Here is a 23,988-nt window from a genome sequence, read left to right as displayed (position 1 = left end):
CATAAGAGATATTTACCTAGTCCAATAATTTAATTTTACCTTTTATGATGTCATGTATTTTTAGTTCATTGTGAAAATTTGTCCTGTATGTATTTTATATAAGCCAATAACTAAGAAATTTGACTGGGTAGAAACTTGGGTTGGTTGGTGATTGTGATAACAAGAGAGTCTGTTATGTAACACTAGAGCTGACTTTTTCCATTTTAGGCTGTTCATAGGAGAAAACAAACAAAGGAAAGAAATTCCATGTTCATTGACTGGAATAATTTGTATTGTTAAAATACAAATTACCCAAAGTGATCTACACATTCCATGCAATTCCTATCAAAATTCCAATAACATTCTCACAGAAATAGAAAAAAAAATCCCAAAATTTGCATGAAACCACAAAAGAACAAAAAAAAGCCAATCAATCCTGAGCAAAAAAGAACAAAGCTGGAGGCATCACACTACCAGACTTCAAAATATACCACAAAGCCATAATAACCAGAACAGCATAGCACTAGCATAAAAAACAGACATATAAACCAATGAAACAAAATAGAAAACCCAGAAATAAATCCATGTATTTACAGCAAACTGATTTTTGACAAAGGCATTAAGAACATGCATTGTGAAAGAACAGTCTCTTCGGTAAATGGTGCTGGGGAAACTGGATGTTCATATGCAGAAGAATAAAACTAGACCCTTGTCTCTCAACATATAGAAAAATCAACTTAAAATTGATTGAAGGCTTAAATGTAAAATCCAAAATTGTGAAACTACTAGAAGAAAGCAAAGGGGAAACACTTCAAAACATTGGCCTGAGCAAAGATTTTTTGAATAAGTCCTCAAAAACACAGGCAACGAAAGCAAAAATAGATAAATGGGTTTATATCAAGCTAAAAACCTTCTGCATAGCAAAGGAAACAATCAACCAAGTGAAAAGACCACCTGCGGAATGGGGGAAAACATGTACAAACTATTCATTTGATAAGGGATTAATATCTAGAATATATAAGGAACTCAACAACAGCGAAAAATATTTAAAAATGGGCAAAAGATTTGAATAGACATTTATCAAAAGAAGACATATGAATGATCAACAGGTATATAAAAAAAAGTTCAACATCACTATCAGGGAAATAAAAATCAAAACCACAGTGAGATATCACCTTGCCTTAGAATGGCTATTATCAAAAAGACAAAAATAACAAATGTTGGTAAGGATGCAGCAAAAGGGGAATTCTTATGTACTGTTGGTGGGAATGTGAATTAGTCTAGCCATTATGAAAAACAGTATGGAGTTTCCTCAAAAGACTAAAAACAGAACTACCATGTGATCCAGCAATCCTACTACTGGGTATATACCCAAAGGAAAGAAAATCAGTATGTGGAAAGACATCTGCACCCCCATATTTATTGCAACACTATTCATAATCACCATGTTATGGAACCAACCTAAGTGCCCATCAACAAATGAATGGATAAAGAAAATGTGGTTTACATACACAAGGGAATACTATTCAGCCACACAAAGAATGAAATCCTGTCATTCACAGCAACGTGGATAAGCCTCGAGGACATTATGTTAAGTGAAATAAGACAGGCACAAAGTTAAATGCCGTATGTTCTCACTCACATGTGGGAGCTGAAAAAGGTGATCGCATGAAAGTAGAGAGAATAGTGGTTATTAGAAATTGGAAAGGGGAGAAGGGGGTGGGGTATAGAGAGAGGCTGGTTAATGGATACAAAATTACACCGAGATCGGAGGAATAAGCTCTAGTATTCTATAGTACTGCGCAGTGACTATAGTTACCAATAATTTTTTGTACATGTTCCAATAGCTAGAAGAGAGGATTTTAACTGTTCTCAACACAAAGAAATGATAAATGTTTGAGATAATGGATATGCTAAGTACCTTGATATGATTATTACACATTATATGCATGTATTGAAATGTCACACTCTACCTTATGAATATGTACAATTATGTGTCAATTAAAAATAATAACAAAAAATTTATTCTCTTGTCAGTTTTCAAATATATAACATGCTATTATTAACTATACTCACCTTGCTGTGCAATAGATCTCAAAAATTATTCTTTCTGTCTAAGTGGAACTTTGTATACTTTGAGTAGAAAAAACCAAATAGAAAAATGTGTGAAGAAGTGAAAAGGCATTTTACAGAATAGGAAACTAAAATGGTTAACAAGTATTTGAACAGATGCTCAAATTCACTAATAATGAGATAAGTACATGTTACTACAGTAATGAGAAGCGACATCACATTCATTAAAAGTTTTTAAGTGCCAAATGGAGTATGCAGAAAAACAGAAATCCTATCTTGCTAGGGACCACTGAGTAATCATCTGACTATGCCCTAGAACCTTTACTCCCGGTCTATAATCCAGAGAAATTCTCATTCGAGATGATAAGGCTCATGTACTAGAATGTTTTGGGCCTTCCCATTTCTTTTTTTAACATTTAAAAAATATCATTAAAGAACTACTACTATACGACATGAAAATATTTAAAATTCACAAAAACATATTATTAACATTTTGGGTTATCTTCTTTTAGAGTTCTCTGGTTACTTTCATACTATTTTAATTTTTAAAAGCAAATTTGCTATCAAAATTTGAAGACTGTTCTATATTCTATTTTACTTTACTTTTCCTATAGTAAAGTATATTTGGTATCTATATTTCTAGAATGAGATTTTTAATCATTACATATATCTTCATATTTTATTTTAACCATTAGATTACATTTCCATACATTGTAATTATATTTCTTCTTTTTATTTTTTCCAGCTTTACTGAAGTATAATTGACAAATCAAAATTTTATATATTTAAAGTATACAATGTGAATTTTTTTTTTTTGAGATGGAGTCTTGCTCTGCCATCCAGGCTGGAGTGCAATCGAGCAATCTCGGCTCACTGCAAACTCTGCCTCCGGGTTCAAGGGATTTGCCTGCCTCAGCCTCCCAACTAGCTGGGACTACACTAGCCCACCACCATGCCCGGCTAATTTTCGTATTTCTAGTAGAGACAGGGTTTCACCATGTTATATTGGTCAGGCTGGTCTAGAACTCCTGATCTCAAGTGATTGGGCTGCCTCGGCCTCCCAAAGTGCTGGGATTACAGGCCTGAGCCATGGCGCCGGGCCACAGTGTGATGTTTTAATGTCTGTATACATTATGAGATGATCACCACACTCAAGCTAATTAACATATCCATGCCTTCATATAGTCACCTTTTTGTGTGTATATGAGTGTGTGCAGTGAGAACACTTATACCTACTCTGCAAATTTCAAGTATACAATACAGTATTATTAACTAAAGTCATAGTCACTTGGTTGTATATTAGATCTGCAGAAATTATCATCCTGCCTATAAAAACTTTGTACGCTTCCACCAACATCTTCCCATTTTCCCCACCCTTAGTTGCTTGCAACCACCATCCTACTCTCTGCTTCTATGAATTCAACTTTTTTAGATTCCATATATGAGCGAGATCATGCACTACTTCCTTCTGTCTGTTTTGTTTCACTTACCATAATGACCTCTAAGTTCACTTTAGCGTTGTTTGTGATAGCAGAGAGGTGGAGGCAATCCAGCTCTCCATCACTGCAGGAATGGACAAAATAAGATGTGGTGGATGTGCATCAGATTCTACCATGCAGCCATTAGGGGCAATGAGCTAGATATAAGCAGGACTAAGATTTTTACCTTAGTACTCTGGAAGAAGAATAAAACACAGAAAGAAGTCCATAGCCCATTGTATTTTATACAAATAAATACATCCAAATCAATAACACTACACATTTCCCAAGGATATATACAAATTCAAGGTTATAGACCACGCATATTAGAAAAGTTTTCTGTGACAGGAGAAGAATGGAAAATGGAAAGGACAATCAAAAGAATAAATAAATAAATCATGAAAGGAGCCCAACAAGGGTGATAGTGTGACTTTCATAGAGAGATGTGGTTAATTCAACCCTTTTCACCCGAGTGGGATGTGTGGCATGCTAACAAACATGGGTGAGATAACGAGGGTTCAGGAAATCTTACTTTCCATTTCTGTCATTGTTGTTGCCTATGGTCTGATTCCTTTCTCTTAATGATGCAGTAAAGAGGTAGCAAATACAGCAAAGTGCTTCATAAGTCAGGCTCAGGCATTAGTCAGTCCTTGGTCAAAATTCTAACTCCAAATAATTATTAACTACCTTCTTTCGGGCAGTTATTTTCTTAGGCACCTATCCTCAGTTGTCTCATCTATAATCTGGTGTTAATGATACTGAATAAGAGTTTTGTGAGTACTAAATTGGAGAAGACATATAAAGCATTCATTCACTGTAGTCTCTGGTATCAATAATTGCCCAACACGTGTTGGTACTAGTTTTTTTTTTTTTTCATTCTAGAAAACTCAGTGACTTCTGGTTACCCATTTTTATTCTTCTCTCTTTTAACATTTTGATCAATGACTTGGATAAAGACAGTCATGCCATCCCTGTCGAACTGGGAGACAACACAAAATTGAAATGGCAGAATCAGATTTCAACCCACAAACTAAAATGATGAACTGATGTCAATAAGATAATACATAATAGGGATTAACATAAAGTTGAGTATTAGATCTAATCCAGAATGATGAGAACTGAATAAAAGCAACACTTAAAAAAATAAGTACTCAAGGGTTTTAGGACAACATGAATCCACAGAGCAATGAGGTTGCTGTTGAAAGAGTCCACATGTGCTTAGATTACATCCATAGAGTTAGGTAGAGTCCTGCTTTAATTTCCACATGTGAGGAATTTGTTCCAGGGATCACACTCTGAGAGGAAGGGTAACCAACGAAAGAATATTTGGAAGAAAGGGAGAAGGGAGGGTGGGAGGACTGGAAACCCCAAAATGAAGAAATGCTGAAAGAATCGAGGGTGCTGTGCTTGGTGAAGGAAAGCTGAGGTTAAGCACTAAAGGTGTCTTCAAAATTATTAAGACGGGATCAGACTTACTGCAGGGATCCACTCACTGGAGTCAGCGAATGGAGTTTTACAGGGGCAGATTTCAGCTCAGCGTAATAACTACATTTTCAGTTGCCAGCACTGACAGACTGGAGGGGGCAACTCAGCAGAACAGTGGAACCATTCGTGAAGGCACCTATACAGAATCTGACAATTCCCTTACCTAGGAATGTCATCCAGGAGATTCCCAGAAAAAGTAGAGGATGGCACTGGATAACTTCTAGGGCCCTCCAATTCCAATGCTGAATTTTCAATATTCATTTCCAAGTGTTTATCACCTGCCAGGACCCAAGAACCTTCTAGCATGATCCCTAGAACAACGTCCTGACTTGTGGAAATTGGAGCAGGACTCTGCCTGACTCTATGGATGTAATCTAAACACACGTTGACTCTTTTGACAACCTCATTGCTCTATGGATTCATGTTGTCCTAAAACCCTTGGGTTTTTTCTTCACATGTTGCTTTTATTCGGGTCTCATAAGTCTGTATTTGCCCTAATACCCACGGAGAATATGTTTCTGAGATTGCAATCTATTCAGCATAAGGTTTTGATATTGATTTTTACAAACACATGTATTTCATGAGCCAAGAATGCCTGTATATTTTTCAACTACACCCATTTTCAGATTAGTTTTATACTTTCATCTAAATTAAATGAATTACTTTTTCTCTCAACATTTTTATTTGTGCTCTACTACTGTTTAATAGTCTCTCTGTCAATATACTGAAGATATCAGGTTGAATACAACTAGTTTGATTTAATTAAGGAATAGCTTCAATCATGCATGAGATGCATTGAAATTTCATAACTGTGAAAGATCAAGTAATTTGTTAATTCCAATTCCTAAAACTCCTCCTTCCCATTGCCAATCATTGTCCAAGTTGGGAGTGGGAGGGGAGATTATTTCATGAAGCCATGACCACTTGCTTTAATGCCTTTATCTAAAAGCTTTCTTCAGCGAGTTGTTTGGTAGCCCAGCCAAATAGGCCATGTGTGACAGATATTAGGTAAACTGGCCTCAGGGAAGGAGTGTGCTTTGCACACTAGTTGGCGGTTTCCATAGTACTCTCCAGGGCTGAGATAATAAGCAATCCAAGAGCAGGAACCTTATCTTGTACACTTTGTATCCCTCCCACCTCCCACCACAGCCCCTGGTGCATAGTAGGCAGACAATATGTATACTGCCGGAATGAGTGAATGAGTGAATATGAATAAACGAGTGGATGGATGACGGCGGACAGATGGCACCAAGGAAGAATTTGCTCTCTGCTTTAAGTCAAGCATGTCAGGGTTCAGCTTCAGTTCCTGGGCTCCATTTCTGCCTCTCACCAGACCAACTCCCCTCTGCTGAGCTTGATGAGCATGATGCCTGTGGGTAGAATGTGTTCTGGGGGGGATGATAGCTGCCTGATATGAGAGATGATATCAGAGATTAGTTAACCATATGGGCTGAGTCCCAGGGGAGGTGTGTGAAATGAATCAGATTAAACAAAATTGATAATGTGAATGCTTAATCAAACAGACAAAGGTAGTCTGTGCAGCTAATTAGGGGCAAATAGAGCGTCCCTCTTGTACCTCATTTAACTGACAAATTGTGCAGACAGTTTTAATGGGAGTCTGTTTAGCAAAGAGAAGGCTGTATAGTTGACAGCTTGGCAAAATGTGGTTTCTGTAACACCACATGATGCTTATGGAAATTAGCCTGGTGCAGCTGAGCTCTGAGCAGTCCTGGGTTGTGCAAATCACAGCAAAACCGACCTTTCACAGCCTGCTGGTCACTGCAATCTTAAAGGCAACGAACTCGCTTTTTAGTATTTTGAAAGGTTGAAGGGTATAGACTCCAAACTTAAATGAAATCTGCTATTACCACATCCAATGCAGAAGTCAAGAAGTAATAAGAGAGAGACAGAGAGACGTCCTGATGAGAGAAGCAGAATCACCCTTCAGATGGATGCAAAGTGGTGGCATTTGCAGCTAGGTGCATTGACAGACCAAGCAAGGCAACTTCGGAAGAACAATGTAGGCTGCTGAAGCTTCAAAAGGTTTAGAGACATTGTACCAGAATCTTTTGGCATTTTCACCATGGTCTCACCAACATCTCAGCCTTTTGCTTCCTTTCTGCCTTCCAAACCTCAGTAGGCCCTATTCCTTCTCCTTTTGCAAATGACAGCACCTTCCTCTCTGATATTGTCATGTCTTTGGACTTCTGCTATTGGAGACTGTGAGAGAATTCCTGGGAGCAAGTGCTCTTTCAAGAGGAGACAGCACATGCAGCTTGTGTTGGTTTCGTAGGTTCACAGGGAACAGAGCTCTCGTGGGCCTGGTCAGAGAAGGAAAACTTGAAGCTCCATTGGCCATACCTGTCATGAACAGCACCATTTGCTGCTCCATGGAGAACTAGGGGAAAAGAAACCTAGCATTGGTGTGGGGACTTGGGGTTCTGGGGGGCTCTCCTGTGGATTTGGATCCCCTAATGTTGTGTGTAATGCTCAGTTGCATGGAATTAGGCATTCCAGGGATAAATGGAGTTGCAAGGTTTGCATTAGCCTGTGTGCCAGCGACAGGATGTCATTGTCTGAACACAGGGACTGGAACTCGGGGTTGGATTCACACTGTGGAGATGAGCTTCCCCTTTCTTGGGTACCCATGCATGGCTCACAGTTTCTGTCCCACTAAAGGGAGTAAGGCCATGCATGAAGAGTATTCTTTTAATGAAGTGATTTTTGTGAATCACTCCACCAGTCAAACATGGTCCCTTCCGGAAAATGAACAGTTTTGCATAAAACGGTCCATTAGTGTCAATGGAGAGGGTCTGACCTCTCACAGAGGAGAGGGCTCCTCTGTAAGCCTAGTCAAGTGGAACTTCTGGGTTTGTGCTTAGACTTGAAGACTATGCCTGCCTCTCTACCCCAGGAGATTTTACCCTATGTTATTATGCATTAAATGCAAAAGCAGGAGTAATTCTACTTTCAGTTCGGGATGAATACATTTAGCAAAGTTGAATAAGTACTTTAACACACCCAAATGCTCATGATTTTAAAAAATTGTTGTAAGTAGTCTATTTATTAATTTTCATTGTTTTAAACCAGAAGAATGACCATGTTTTTAATCACATCAAAGCTACACACATACTCAAAACTGTATTGGCACTAACACAAATCAAATTTATTCTTCACTTTTTGCCCTGAAGTTTAGGGGGTCTTTGCTTTCTTGATCAGTAGAGGCAATTGAAGTGGCAAAACACATTCACTGGAAAAATGGGAGATATTATTTGGAGTCATTATGAAAACAACTTGTAGGTTTTTAGATTTTTTACTCTGTTTAAATTTACTAAATTAATTGTTCTAAGGGAAAACTATGGGTAATAAAAGGAAAATATTAAAGAAAAGGAAAGAGATTTTGCAAAGCCAAAAACTTAACTACTGATAACATCCACAAGGAATTCATTCATCTCTAAGAGATTAGCATAGCCTTTTACTTTTGGAGGTTTGACCCTTACCAGACTTTGTTTTTTGATTATAAAAACTTACCAAATTTCTTATTCCTAGACTTTTAACTTCTGCAGGGATCATCAATCTTGTATGATGGATGAACTCTATTATTAAAAGACATAAATGTGACTGTACCTGCATAGAAAATCTGAAATGCAATATTGAAGCAGTAGTTATCAACTTTAGAAAAACATAAAGGAAATAAAATGAAGCATTTTCATTACATTATTACTGATATCATTTATATAGTTCTATAGATCAATTTTACACTTTGATTTACCCCTGTCAATAGCAAACTTTTTTTCCCAGATAGTTTCTCTTTGAAGGAAATGATTAATTAATATGTAATTCAAAAACAATTGAAGGAGGCTAATGATTGAGGGAAGACTTTTGGGCTTCCATTATCCAAAGTCATGGCCCAGGGTTGCATACTCACTGGACTTCAGCTTTGACCTAGATGGAGCCAAAGTCTGTCTTCTTAGATCTACCTGGGGGGCAAATTCATTAATGACAGATTTTTCATTCTGTTTTCTTCAGTGACTTGCCTATAGGAGACCTCTTGGTCAAGACACCAGCGTTCAAAGTGAAGTGACGAAGAGCTCATTACTGAGGGAATGCTGCTTGCACACAACTAATTGATAGCATTCAGGCCTTTCCAAATCCAGCTGGAGCCTAAATTATTAGGTACCACACTTCAGAGGATAACAGCTTCATCACTAGCTTGGTTGTCCTCACCAGGTAAACATGGTCCTTGTATGAGAAGGGATCTCTGAGCCCTGGAGACAGGCCAGGGACTGGGAGGGGAGAAGCAGAGCTCAGCTGGAAGTGGAACTAGGGGAATGAAAGTCTACTAAAGCCAGACCAGCATTCCATGGTTAAAGGTTCTCTGGGCAGCAGGAGCAAGATTAAAATGGGATTAATATAAAGAAGAAAAAGTAAAAAGGCTATTTTGACTCAGGCAGAGTAAGATTGGAAGACTGTTTGCATTTTTGCCTTAAATCAACATTTCTATTTTTTTTTTCTGTTAATAGAAAAAAAAGTTAGACAAAATTACTTGATAGTTCAGGACAAACCATTCCTTCTATCTTTACACCACTATTTTGTTTCACCCATATTTACATTTGCTGGAATGATTCTGGCTGTACAAATCTGATGTTTGCTTACAAAATTCAGCATCTGGATTTTGGCTATCTGGCTATCTGTTGCTTCTAACATCTTTGACTTTAGTCACAAAATAACCTTTCTCCATTCTGGATTTCAGGTCCATGTTTGCACAACAGCAAAACATCTAGATAACAGAGGAGAAATTCAGGCATCCATCACATGATCTTCTTCTCACATAGTAACTTCTCATGTAGTTAATAGTTAATTTTACTTCCTTTATGCAGATTTAAGTGGCAAGTTATTTATGACAACTTTTAGTCATAACACTTGACATGTGATTAGTAAGAAATTATAGGTTCAATTGAATAAGTGATAAATTATCATATATTTTAAATTCTGAATTATTTGCTGAAATTATTTTCCAAAGTATCAAAACAAGTATATGTTTCTAAGACTGTTTTTGAACCAAATAATTTTAAATGTTTATTAAAATCACAAAAAACATACAGAAAGCGCTAATTTGCTCTCTAACCTTTCAAATATCAATTTGGTAAAATGTCCCACATTTCATCTTCAGAAATTATTTAGTGACAAAATGCACATTAATTTCAGTAAAAAACATATTCAATGAATGTCAGTTCTTTAAAATTATAATTGTTTGATTGGCTGCATTTTTTTTTTTTTTTTACTTTTTGCCATCAGTGTATTGGTTGTTCCAAGTAAATCTGAAGAACTCTCATAAAAGTAAGCTCTAGGTCAGTTTTTAAAGGAACATAAAACATAATATCCAGCTCCAATATTAATGAGTCCTATCAGATAGTGCAACTGCCCTTTTTAGGGGCTTGAATCTTTTTCTACCATCTGAAATGACAAGCCATTCTGCCACCTGGATGGGTTCCAACTATTATCCTCATGTATCATAGTGTGAGAGGGAGGGGGAGGAATGGAGAAGGAAAAGGCATCTGGAAGGCCAGAAAATTCACTTTGGTCAAATAGTAAAGAGCTTCTAAACCATTTTTTTCTTCTAACTTTCAGATGCTTCACTGTTTCTGTCATCAGCAAATCTGAAGTTTTCCTGGACCATTTCATCAACCTGACACAACGGAAGTGGGAGTGGACCGCTGGTCACTGTCCACACAGTGCTGCTTGAGTTAATTGATAAACCTCGCCTCTTTATTATCAGCGCTGGCCTTCTGTCTACAGCCACACAGCCTATTGCCCCTCCAAGGCACTGAGATTTCCTTGTGGAATTCTAGCAGATATTGGAAATTTTGGTGGCAAATTAGCAGGGGCCACAAACCAGAAGTGACAGCTCCAGTACCCTGATGGGGAGAATGTAGCAATACCTTGCCCACAGCAATTGGCCAGGCTTATCATATGGACTAATCACAACAGATCTGGGGAAATAATGGGCACCAGATGTTATCGCTTTGTAGGCTGGAGCTCTCCAGAGACGACAGCCATGATAGGAAAGCTTCCTCAAAACAGGAACATGATTCTGTCGCTTATTAATCAAGCCAGGAGGCTGGGTGTGATCATCTACTCCTTCCTCAATGCCATGGTTTCCTTCTGCTCTGTTAATGAATAGGGAAACAGTTTCTGTGTGTGGTGTGTGTGTGTGTGTGTGTGTGTGTGTGTGAATCTGGATGTGTCTATCACACATGTACACATAAAATTCAATTTACTATCTATAAGCATGCTTCCCAGAATTAAATTTTTTTCTTGAATCAGTTATATTCAGCATTGGTATACTGAGGACTCTCTTAATTAAGTATTTATTTTATTTATCCTAATTACCCTCAACTTTAAGAAGATTGTATATTTTTAACACATTACGTGATACAAATGGAAAAAAGGACTGGCCGAGGCAACATGGCGAAACCCTGTCTCTACCAAATATATATATATACATATACGTGCATGTGTGTGTGTGTGTGTGTATGTGTGTGCATGTGTGTGTGTGTGTGTGTGTGTGTGTACATAAATTGGCCAGGCATGGTGACATGTGTCTATAGTCCCAGCTACTCAGGGACTGAGGTGTGAGGATTGCTGGAGCCTCAGATGCTTGAGGTTGCAGTGAGCTGAAATCACACCATTGCACTACTGCACTCCAGCCTGGTTGACAGAAGAAGACCCTGTCTCAAACAAAAAAAAGAAAAAAAAGAAAAATGATGAAACAAATTCTCATTTCTACCGGCCTTCCTGACTTCTCCATGGATATTTAGCACTACAAATTTAGCTTATTAGGAAAACTAAACCCATCTTTTCCCTTCAAGCCCTCCCAATTTCACTTACGGTCCTACTTACATGAAAGCCATCACCCCGCACCACCCCCCCATTTATCTAGACCTAAACTTGGAAGTCACCTTGTACTGCCCTTCGCTGAGTCTGTCTCCTAAAGGTAGAGTCCTTTCCCTTCTCACAGCCACTATCCAAGTTCAGTTTCTCTTCATCTCATTTGTAGGGTATTACTGTAACCTCCAAAATGGCCTTGATTCTGGTCTCTCTCCTGCCCTTGATTTTTGGATTTCTCATTAGCTTCGCATCCCTACATACATCCTCAGCTCCAGCCATGCCAACCTCATGAAGATATCTTCCTCATGGTGTTCTCTCAAGCTCTTTGCCTTGCACTTTCTGTCCTGCCTTGGCTGCATTAAAAGGGGTGCAATACAGGAGGCAGGGAAATAGTTTGGAAGCTAAGCAATTTGTCTGAGGTCACATAGAAAGTAACTGGTAGAGCTCAGATTTGAACCCATGGCTTGCTGCCAGTAGCTTTCTGAGTTTGTGCATTTATGCTGATACAGCAATTGGCATTTCTCCCCTCCTCTTGGATTGCACCAAGGGTCTCTATATGCTGTAGATCTAGGTGGGCCAAGCCAGGGAGACCCTCAGCAACAAATAACCAGTGAAATAAAGGATTATTTCTATGGGTTCCTTTCTTCAGGTTGTAAAATAAGAAAAGCCTTGAGTTCCTCCTTCTTACTCATGCCACATTCTTTCTGTGCCTTCCATTCTCATCTTCTACAATGACACCTGGGCATACTGAGTATTTACGGCTGAAAGAAATCGAGAAAACCACAAAAGCAGAAGAGCACTCTCTGACCCTCTTTCTTTATCTCTGACCTTATTCCACCTTCCTCCCCTGAAGAAGGTCACAAAAAAATTCTCTGGCCTACTCCCCTGAAAGTAGGTCATAAGACCCTCCATCCAGAGCAGTCCTGGAGGTCAAGAAGAATCTGAACAAACAGGCCTTGCTAAGTTCCCCCACGTTTATTACCATTAAATCATACCCCTTTGTCCTCCAATCACACTTCTGCAAGATTGTTCATAAAAATAGTTTTCCCTGGATCTTTGGGTCTTCATTTCTAAAGGTTCCGTGTCACAAAAAACTTATATGAATTAAATTTGGTTATGCTTTTCTCTTGTTGACTTTTGCTATAGCAGTGTCAGCCATGAACCTTGCAATGAGTAAGGAAAACAAGTTACTTTTTCTCTCCTACAACCAACAGGAAAGGGTTTAAAATTACCTCTCAAGGATCACAAGAAATCTTGTTGAAGTTGTCATTTCTTCCCTATCTGATGGCCCAATTAGAAATTGGCTTTCTGCTCTGGGTGTTCCGTGTTTCTTTCAGAGACTCCTAATAACTTGGTGGAGTGAGCTGGAGGTGAGGACTAGGGAGAAAAACCTCTATGGTCCAATGAAGAGTGGGCGTCTGATACTCAGACAAAAAGCCAGGTTGCTGGGTAGCCTCTCAGGACACAGCCAGTTGGTGGTGCTTTGCCAGTTATTCTGAAGGTGTAGCCCAACTCTTATGTTACACAGAGCAACAACTCAAATATGACTGTCAAGTAGATCATAATCAAGATGTTTAAAAGTATGGTACTGGTTCTTGTGAAATATTTGTAACATGTGGTTCCATTTGCTTCTCAGTAATTTAGAGCTGAGAAAGAAGTTACAGATATTTTCAACCAATGTTTCTGGTTCACAAGTATTTGTGCTGAAAGTTATTTAAAAATTGTAAAGCCTGGCTGGGTGCAGTGGCTCACACCTCTAATCTCAACATTTTGAGAGGCCTAGGTGGGAGGATCGCTTGAGCCCAGGAGTTTGAGACCAGCCTGGGCAACATGTAAAACCTGTTTCTACAAAAAACTTAAAAAAAAAAAATTAGCTGGGCATTGTGGGTGTGGTCCCAGATATGCAAGAGGCTGAGGTGGGAAGATCACTGGAGCCTGGGATGTCAAGCCTGCAGTGGAACCATGATTGTACCCCTGCACTCCAGCCTGGGGGAGAGAGTGAGACCTTGTCTCAAAAAAAAAAAAAAGTTAAAAAAGACTTATTAATATGGGCCTCACAAAATTAGAGTTTATGTTTGTTTGAAACAGTACCTGGGATAAAGCTTAACCTGACACTTCTCTGAAGGGAAAGTTTGCCAGATGCATTACTAGTGTCAGCAAAATTGAAAGAAGCATTTTTCAGTCAATTATGAAAGTAAACTGTTCTCAAACAATCTTAGCAGAAATGCTAATTTACATACAATTGATATGTCACAATCAGATTTCATCTATTGCTAACATATTACCCCCCAGCCAATAAAAGTAGTTTCTTAGAAGCTCCCAGGAGAGAAGCCTCTAGTTCTTTTACTGTGTATATTTGAAAGTAATAAAGGCTTATTTCTTTAGAAGTGCTTTCTTAATCAGACTTTTCCTTAGTTTAGCCAGAACTTCACAGAAAATTAGTCTTTTGCTAGCGAGGCTTCCTGTTACATGAGGTTTTCCATTTGAACACACGGGTGTTAGTGCAAGAAACATCCTGTCTTTCATGTCATTCAAGTGACTGATGAATGTGAAGGGGCTTCTTCCTCAAGTCTTCTAGGTAGACAGCAGAAAGCACAATACCGAGTAGCCAATCCTCTCTTCTCTCATTTCTCAAGGTGGCTTTTAAGGTTGAAAAAAATCCTTCCTTAATTTTCCTTGTTCTTTTATTCTCCAAATTTTCTGATTTTTATTTCCAGATACACACTTCCCCTGAAATCCTTACAAAAACGATAACAAAATAATAAAAAAAGGAAAAAAAACTCATGTGAGATTAAGAAATAGGGATTAAGAAACAGGGAGAGAGGAGTAGAGGAGACAAAAGGAGAGGAGAAGCAAGGGGAGAAAAGAATAGTGGAGGAGGGAAGGGAGAGAAAAAATGCACGAAAGAGGCAAAGAGAATTCAGCTCACATAAAAGGAAGAAAGAGGAGATAGTGAAAACACATGCTCAAAACAAGGTGGGCTGGGGTGAGAAGAGGAAGTAGAAAAATAAAGGAATGATGCCTCAGTAAACTCCTATCAACCTCTGACGGCAACTGTTTTGCATTTTCTGAAAGCTATTTTCTTTTTTCAGCAGAATCATTACCAGTTGTATGGCTTCCCTCTATGTGTCTTTATTCCAACAATTCAAAAGTCAGAAAAGAAAATTATTTTCACATTAGCAACTCATTAAATGCCTCCGTATTTGTAGCTGGCTCTGAATGCATTGTTTTTACACATCTACATGCCTACTTGGAGGTATTGTCAGCCAGGGCATGCAGGCTGGGAGCCCTTCTGTCATGCATATGGGTAAGTGGGTGGGGTGGGGCTATGTCAGAGTCATCCATCATCCTCCATCAATGTCACCACCACCTGCAGAGACCCAGCCAATGGGCAGTCAGTCACTCAGGCCTGACAGCTGGCCATCAGTCCCAGGTGGGGGATATGTCAAAGCTTTCAAGGTATTAGCTACTGGGGAGGCTCTTTTTGCTAAGACCTGTGGGTTCTAGGAAGGTCTCCACCTTCAGAATTATTAAACATATTTGTGATTTTACTCGCCTCTGTGACAACTGGTCAGAGTCAGGCGAGTCAATGGGAAGATTCGCTCTGTATTTACCTAAAATTATGGTGGATCATCACTTAAAATCAAATATTGGGCAGTTAAGGCAAGAACAGTAGGCACTTTCATGCATGGCAAACTATAATGTTTACTGTAGTGTTAGATTTTCATATTAAGCAAGTCTAGACTAAATCATGGCTGCCTAATTAGACAAGGTACTAATGAGTTAAGGCTTTCTCTTTGTCATAAACTGACTCTTCCTCTGAACCCCTAATTAGTGCCTCTTTTTTTAAGTTGAGGTTTATCAATTATACCTTAATATAAAATAAAGTTTATAATCTCAAGTGTACAGTGCTATGACTTTTTGCACATGTACACATCACTATAACCATCTCCCAGATCACAATATAGATTATATGCTTCTTTTCCAATCACATAACTCATAACACCTCACATTACAGTAACTTATGTATATTTTTATCTCTTTCATTGAATTGTAAACAAAAGACAAGGTCCTAGTCTTTTTCATACTTGTAGTTCCTGCAGTCCCTGGCATGACATATGGCTTATAGCAGGTGTTTCACTTTTTTAAAATTGATGAAAAATTATCTATGTAATTTTGAAGTCAGAGTAGGTCTTTAAAAATATCTCATGTACCTAGTATGGCCTTAACAAACAGGAAGCCAATGAAAGAAGAAAATACAAGAAAATGGAATAAAAGAAAGCCTCCCCACTTCCCAATTGCCAACATTTAGTTTCCATCAGCAAATATTTTTTGAGGAAGTGCTAGGTACAGGCTCTATGTTCTCACAATAATCAGTGAACAAATCTCTGCCCTCATGGAGTTTATATTCTAATGGAGAAATGATTGTCCAGTCTTACAGAGAGAGGAGTGTAAGAATTTATATGAGAGATTATTACAAGACAACAAAAAATCCTAGACATATTTGAATTGTGTGTTAGCCAAATTTTAATGGAGTCTGATTTACTCTTCTATTCCATAGAGAGGTCATTGCAATACAAATACTGCTAGCCCAACACTGAAGGAAAGGCAGAAGTAAGAAATCTGCATATTGATTTTAATTTTATGTATGAACACTTTGGTCATGGCATATCAAAACTTAGTCCCTGGATGGAGACTAGTAAATTTAAAATCATTGCCAGTAACGAGATGGACCCAAACCCCATAAAGTGTACTCAGTTGATTGCCAAATGTCCCTATTAATTGATTTTTAGGAAAGTTTTATATTTCTCCAGTAGAATAGTTCTTTTCTATCTCTGCTTTCATTTCTTCTTCCTTGGTCTTAACAAAGTTCCATAAAATGGTATCTACCCTCATAACTCCCATGTGGAAGGAGGCCCATCTTATTTTTCAAGCTAGTCTTGAAAGACATTGTTTAAAAAAAAACTTCAGACAAGTTAAATTTGAAGGAGTATAATTGAGCAAAAAAAAAAGAAATTATTTGCAAATCAGGCAGCCTCCAGAATCAAAGCAGATTCAGAGAGACTCCTGGGGAACCTTGTGGGCACAACAAATTTATAGACAAAAAAAGTAAAATGACGTAAGGAAATCAGCAGTGAGGTACAGAAACAGTGGGATTAGTTACAGCTCCCTGTTTGCCTTATTTGAACACTCAGCAGCCTATGAGTGGTTAAAGTATGGCTGCTGGGATTGGCCAACACTCAGCTATTGTTACAGAGGCATACTCCTAAGTTAGGTTTTCAATCTTGCCTATTAAGCTAGGTTACAGTTCCTCCACAAGAACTCAACTATAGAAGTACGGAGTCCTTCTCAGGCCATATTTAGTTCACTTTAACAACACTGCAGCACATGCAATAGCCTTCACTCCAGAGTCCAAAGGAGTCTGAATCAAGTTATATTTACCAGGTCCAATATTATAGATCCAAGCAGATCTGAGACACCTTCAGCACCGACTGGGCAATCCAGGTTTCCTAGAGGCGAGGCCTAGGACCCAACTGTCCCCAAATTGCTTTACTCCCAGTTCCTGGGTGGGTCCAGTCCTCATGTCTGGGCTTCTCTTTCGGGGGCCCAATTCAGTGGCCTGCTCAGTCTTCCTACAGGTCTGATTGCCCTACCTTGAACTACAATACATCTGTTTGAGATCTGGTTTTTGTCTTCATCTTTCCTAGGTCAGATCCTGTCTGCTGGTTGAAGTTAGGTCATATGTCTGCTGAACTGTCAGAGCACCTTGACTTCTGAATGTGTCTTTTGTCTAATTTTTCCTCTGCTGTTCTGAACCCAGGCAACCAGACCTCCTGGTAGGGACTAAATCACATTGAACAACTGCACCTGGACATACCCAATTGTCTCCCCAGGACAGGGTTTTGATCTGGCTCACAACCAGTGCTTCATCACCTCCAGTTATAGGTAGCTCACTACCTCACAAAGCAACAAATTCTAATTGTGATCTAATTTTAAGTCATTGTTTTCTTAGTATGAGTAGAAATAAACTTTGTTGTTTCCTTCATGCTTTAGTAAAAAATAACAAATGTGTTAGATGTTGAATATTTATATTGTAGTCATTCTGCTAGGCTAAAATTTATGGCAAAAAATAAACGTGTTCTTTGACCTCAAGTTACTCACAGTCATTAGGCCTTCTGAGGAAGATATACTCTTTTTAACAATTTTTTTTCTTTCTTTTTTTTTTTTTTGACATGGAGTCTTACTCTGTCACCCAGGCTGGAGGGCAGTGGCGCAATCTTGGCTCACTACAATCTCCACCTCCTGGGTTCAAGCAATTCTCCTGCCTCAGCCTCCCCAGTAGCTGGGATCACAGGCATGCACCACCATACTCAGCTAATTTTTGTATTTTTGTAAAGACAGGGTTTTACCTTGTTGGCCAGGCTGTTCTTGAACTCTTGACCTCAAGCGATCTGCCTGCCTTGGCCTCCCAAAGTGCTGGGATTGCAGGCATGAGCCACCGTGCCCGGCTTCTTTTTAACAATTATTATTTTTAATTGACACATAATAATTGCACATAATTATGGGGTACAGTGTGATATTTTGATACACGTATACAACGTGTGATGATCAAATCTGGGTAATTAGCAAATCCACCACCTCAAACATTTATCATTTCTTTGTGTTGAGAACACTCAAAACTCTCTCTTTCAGCTATTTGAAAATATACATGATCTACTATTACAACATGTAATAAAAATGATAAAATCTATGCAAAGCTTTTTAAGATCACTGAAAGAAGCAGCTAACTCTGGCTGAGGGATATGAGGTTGGCAGAATCATGCAAGGTTTTACAGGAAAGGTGAGAGATTGCCTAATACTTGAAGAATGAATAGGAGTTTTGCTGACATGGAAGAGTATTAAAAACAAATTGCTCCAAGGGAAGATCATCTCCAAAGCATGTTAGAATTCTTTATGATGAAGGTGACAGACTCCCCAACTCAAATTGGTTGAAGTCAAAATATGAGTAGGTTTGTCTTACATATAGTTCGACTTAAGATTCAAACAATCTTATCAGGATTCTGGCTCCATCTTTCTGTGTCTTTGTCAGTTCTACATTCCTTCGTCTTCAGGCAGGGTCTGCTCGTGGTAACAAAATGACCATCACAGTTCCAGAACTCACATCTGCATCCAACACTCTCCAGGGAAAATGTTGCAAAAGTCTTAGGATTCATTTTTGCTCATGAGATCTAACTGGGTTATGTACACATCTCTGAATTTATCACTGTAGTTAATGGGGGAGTATAAGGTCATAGTTGACACTCCTCTAATAAAAGACAGGTTAGCAAGAGAAAAAATAACAAATTTACTTGACAGAGTTCTTTGGTTTTTTTTGAGACAGAGTCTCGCTCTGTTGCCAAGGCTGGAGTGCAGTGGCACAATCTCGGCTCACTGCAAGCTCCACCTCCCCGGTTCATGCCATTCTCCTGCCTCAGTCTCCCGAGCAGCTGGGACCACAGGTGCCCTCCACCACACCCGGCTAATTTTTTTGTATTTTTAGTAGAGACGGGGTTTCACCAGATGGTCTCGATCTCCTGACCTCGTGATCAGATGGTCTCGATCTCCTGACCTCGTGATCTGCCCGCCCTGGCCTCCCAAAGTGCTGGGATTACAAGCGTGAGCCACCGCGCCCGGCCAACAGAGTTTTTTATGTGAGATGACAGCCTTCAGAAACAAAGACTCAAAGACCCAGGGAAAACTATTTTCATACTTAGGCTTGATGAACAATGGACAGCCATGTAGAAATATGATTGGACCAAAAAGGCGTGATCTAATGGTAAATAATTGAGAGGGAAACCCAGCAAGGCCTGTTTGTCCAGCTTCTTCTCAGCCTCTCTGTGTAGCAATTTCTTCCTCTGGGTATAGACAGGATACCTGTCACATGAGGGTCAGGGTCTTCAGGGAGAAGGTCAGAGAGTGACATTTCTAGGTTTTATGGCTTGCTTTGAGGGAGAGGAGTTCTAGTTTCTATGCCCTGTTTTGGGGAAGAAATGGGGGAAGGAAAAAAGAGGTGAGAAAGATCAGAGAGGATTTCCTGCTTCTGAGGCCCTTCCAATTTCCTTGAGTACAAAGTACTCACTTGGCAAAATGCAGTCCTTTGGAGTATTGTCTTCCGAGCCTCCACAGGAAAAAGCTATTTCAATGGCTTCAGCCAGTCAAGAACTATCCCCAGAACTGGAAGGGGTTCATTCCCATTCTAATCACATGGCAAAGAATGAGAGAGAGGTAAGTTCCTCCAAGGGGTATCAAAATATTGTTGCCAGGAGAAGGGAGAATGAATGGCGGGGAGGCAGTTAACAACACCATCTGTAAAAAGGCAGGAAAGTGTTTTTATGTGTGGTCTTACTACAGAATTGGAAGATTTATAATTTATATTTGGAGGACAGGGAGCATTTGGAGATGTGACTACTGATAAGATTGAAAGGGAGGCAGGAATGCTAATGAGAAGGGCGATGTCGCACTAGTTTAGGTAAACACTAACCTGTTAGAACAAAAAGCCTCCAAACTGAAGTGGCTTAAAGAAGACAGAGATGATCTCTGATTTAAGTAGTAGCCCTAAATAACAACGTGGCTTTGCTCCACGTGATTGTTCAATCAATTCCTTCCTTCCTGTTGCTCCAGCATCCCCTGGGTCATTGACGTTGCGTGGTTGGTTGAAGTTGGGTCACGGACGTATCTACGTTTTAGCTCATGGGAAGAAGAAAGAGACGAAGGTCAGAGTAGCAATTTCTTTTTAAATAAGCGTACATATTACATCGTCCCATTCCGTGGATGAGAACTTAGTCAATGGCCACCTAGCCACAAAGGAGGCTGAGAAATGTAGTCTCTAGCTGGGGGTGGAATGGGTATGTCCAGGATGAAGGGAAGAACAGATTTTAGGGCAAAGAGCAATTTGCCATGGATGATAAAACTCTGGTAGAATTATTCAGTAAACAAAGGAGTAGAATGAGATGATCCCATTTGAGTTTAAGAGATATTCCTTGAGTGTGAAAAGAAGCTAAAGTGAGACAGAATCACCACTTAAGAATCATTCAAATGTGAAATGTTGAAGGCCTGAACTAAGGTCTCCTTGGAGATAAAATAAAAGAGTTGAAATACGTGCCCTCTAAGACCTTTTTTCTCCTCTTCATATCAGACTTCTAAGTAGCTGCTCACTTCCATGGGTCACCAATTCTGGAAAGGTCTAGGCATGTTTCTAAAATGAGCCTACCCACACACATGGACTCAGTGGATGTTAGTAAAACACCAAATGCTGTCAGGAGCACGGACTGAGCTGTTTCTATCATACAACAGGGTAGAGAGCAACTCATTTCTGCTTATTACAATGCAATACATTATTAAATAGTGAGTCAGGGAGGGAAAAGCCGGAGTTCAGCCACTTACTAACTGTGTAGTTTTGGGGAGGATACTTGGGGCTCCCTCTGCCCTTCAGTTTCTTAGTATATAAACATGGAACTAATACTCTCTGAAAGTATTGTGAGAATTAATGAAATCATCTATGTGACAGGCAGGTGCTCAGCAAGGGACATTGGTGCTTGTCCCTTCCTGTCCAACATGTGCTTGTAAATTTACCTTTGTTCTTAAGAACATCTTCATGCCAATATCAGAGGGAAAGAGATTTTTTTTTTTTTTTAAACCTAGAGATGCTCTTCCTTGTCCTGGCCTTCCACCCTGATTCAGGCTGATTCCCCTCGGGGAGCCTAGTGACTGAAGATCCACAAGCTCCTTGCAGCTGGTAGAGGTAGCACATTAGAAATTCATTTTTTCCTGTCATAATAACAAAGTGCAGGGTGGCAGGCTGGGCACAGTTTCGTATGGGAAAACCCACAGAAGGGGACAGCTGAAGGGAGCTGTGCTTTTCTCCGGTATTTCTTGTCAGGGAGAACCATCCTCAAAAGGACAAAAAAAAAAAAAGTCCCTGTTGAATTTGGATGTCTCATTTCCAGGGGCAAAATAGTTCTGCGCTCACAGCCTCCTAGCCTGCTTTTGCTGAATCATCCAGGCTCTTGGGAGTACAATCACTTTACAGGCTTTCCCTTCAACCGTTATCATCCCTCCTCCTAGAACGTCAGTAGCTCAGGGAACTAGACAGGCTGCGTTCTTGATTTGCCTCTGGAAAAATTTCCCAAGAAATTAAATTCCTGGGTTTGTTTCTTAAGCCCTAGAAGTGGCAGTTTAATTGGGGGAAATTTTAAAAACATAAACTGGGTGGGTTTTTTTCTGAACAAATGAATAGATGAATGTAAGTTGGTGATGTATGGGCACTGGGTGTGAGCGTGCGAGTTGTGTCTGAGGCTTTGTCCAAATGTCTCCAGGTATGGTGAAATGCACTCAGGAAATTAAGCCTAGGCCTTCAAGAGGCAAGACGAAACCCAGCTGTGCACAAACAAACAACTGGCCTCTCAGTGGCTTCTTTGCCAGGAAGCAGTGTTTTGTTTAAAAGACATATGGCACGGTATATCAGAAAATAGATGTAAAGATATGTTAGGACCAGTATCTTAGCTAATGAGTAAAGCAGCACTAAAACATCTTCAAACTCAAAGGCAACTTGAAGAAGAAAAGTATTCCAGGCCCCTTAGGGGAACATTTCAGAGAGCAGAGCCGCCTTCTCCACTGGGCCCCAAGGCATGGTGCCCACGATAATTTTAAGGGCCCACAACAATCTGTTACACCTTATCTAAAAGAGGAAAAAAATGTTGACATATTTAAAATTATGTAATAATATGTTGTTATCGTTATGGTGGAAGGGGCCCACGAAGGCAAAAGTGCCCACAGTCCACCAAAGTAATAATGTGAAGAGAAGCCAAAGTTTAAAAACAGAAAGAATATACAAATGAAGAGAGAGAAAATTAGCAAACTTTAATTATTCAGTAGTCTGTCATCAATAATAAAATCTAATTACTTCTATGGAATACAGTATAGATTTCCCCCAATTGATAGACTATTATTTTCATCACTCCAAATATTGATATAAATCAAATCCGACCCTACTTTTCTTGCTGATGTAAGATGAACTGACACGAAATCACCTACCCGTTCAGGTGCTACCTGCTCTCCCTCAGCCTGACATTTTTTACTTCCCTCCAACGTGGGGATGAACTAATGCCTCTGGGTCAGTTTCTGGCATTTATTGTCAACCGGCAGGGGTTGCTAGAGAACAATCCCGGCCTCTCGTCTGTACCGACAGCCCTCAGAGAAAACCAAAGCTTTGGTTGGTAGTTTGGGCTTCTCAGCACCAAAGTAGGCAAAAAGTCTAATTTGCTGTAGAGAAACGGGGCACTTTGAGCTTAGAGATGGAGAAGCAAACACGTTGTAAGTGACGTTTCTTGTTGAAGAAGGTTCTGAGTCTTTGTGACTTGGATGTGAGATCTTCTGTCGGCCGATAGCCGACAGTGAGGAGCGTGAAGTCTCAGTGAGGGGAAGTCTCAGTGAGCAGCGTGAGGAATTCGGCTGATCCTCACTCTCAAGCGAACCTGCAGCCCTTTCCTTGGTGAGTGCTGGCTCACTCAGGCTGCTCTCACGGCGGCGAGGTTCGTGTTTCCTGTGCGCTTGCTTTTGAGTTGGGCAAGATTTAAATCTGAACTCCAGTCTGGCATAGAAAAGAACTCCCTGATATAACTCCAGTAACAACAAACAAACTGAAACTTCAGACGAGTTGCGAGTTTTCTTGTTGAGGATTTAGTAAAATGCTGCCAGGGCTGCTGCCTGGTAACAATGTTAGTAAACTAGTAAATCGCCCGCCCCGGCAAGGATGGCCACTCTCAGCTAAAGGGCCAGTTTCAGAAATTCAGTCTTGAAGTGGCGTTTGCTGTCTTGCTACTGCCTATTGTGTTAAAGAAAGGGTTTTTTTTTTTTTGGGTGAGTTTTTTTTTTTTTTTTTTGGCCTGATTGTAAGTGTTTTGAATGTAAAAGACACCCAAATTCATTAAATGTGTGAAATGATGGGAAAAAAGTGTGAAATTGTAACAGTCGGTTTGTAGTTGATTAATAGAAATCTCTTCTAACAATCCCCAGAACCTTCCGGGGGTCATTGGAACAGAGC

The 23,988-nt window shown here is 39.6% G+C and overlaps 1 long non-coding RNA gene across 7 annotated transcripts in view, besides 2 other annotated features; it reads right to left on the bottom strand.

Moving 5' to 3' along the window:
• LOC102723633 (uncharacterized) overlaps positions 1-23,777 on the bottom strand; it is a 35,846-nt gene extending 12,069 nt beyond the window's left edge. The window contains exons 1-4 of one of the 7 annotated variants that reach the window (XR_007059787.1): positions 22,980-23,777; positions 20,428-20,633; positions 8,547-8,655; positions 8,158-8,265 (exon numbers count right to left, since the gene is read on the bottom strand). This is a non-coding gene — a long non-coding RNA (uncharacterized LOC102723633). Of the gene's footprint in view, positions 1-8,157; positions 8,266-8,546; positions 8,656-13,138; positions 14,645-17,348; positions 17,822-20,427; positions 20,634-22,979 lie in introns of those variants that run through there. The other 6 variants (XR_943051.3, XR_943047.1, XR_943053.1 and 3 more) reach the window with 6 other exon arrangements.
• Positions 7,818-7,907: an enhancer, noted in NCBI's record as "active region_25140". NCBI's record gives its function as "activates an Ori minimal core promoter by ATAC-STARR-seq in GM12878 lymphoblastoid cells {active_cell/tissue: GM12878}" and the evidence as "EXISTENCE:reporter gene assay evidence [ECO:0000049][PMID:35858748]".
• Positions 14,699-15,544: an enhancer, noted in NCBI's record as "OCT4-NANOG hESC enhancer chr6:137744471-137745316 (GRCh37/hg19 assembly coordinates)". NCBI's record gives its function as "activates a minimal SCP1, AML or CMV promoter by ChIP-STARR-seq in naive and primed H9 embryonic stem cells {active_cell/tissue: H9 hESC(naive and primed)}" and the evidence as "EXISTENCE:reporter gene assay evidence [ECO:0000049][PMID:30033119]".
• Positions 23,778-23,988: the final 211 nt, after the last annotated feature.

This window comes from Homo sapiens, chromosome 6, assembly GCF_000001405.40.
Source record: "Homo sapiens chromosome 6, GRCh38.p14 Primary Assembly".
Classification (NCBI taxonomy): Eukaryota; Metazoa; Chordata; class Mammalia; order Primates; family Hominidae; genus Homo; species Homo sapiens.
Note: the sequence above shows the minus strand (reverse complement) of the source record. Positions and strands in the feature narration are given on the sequence as shown.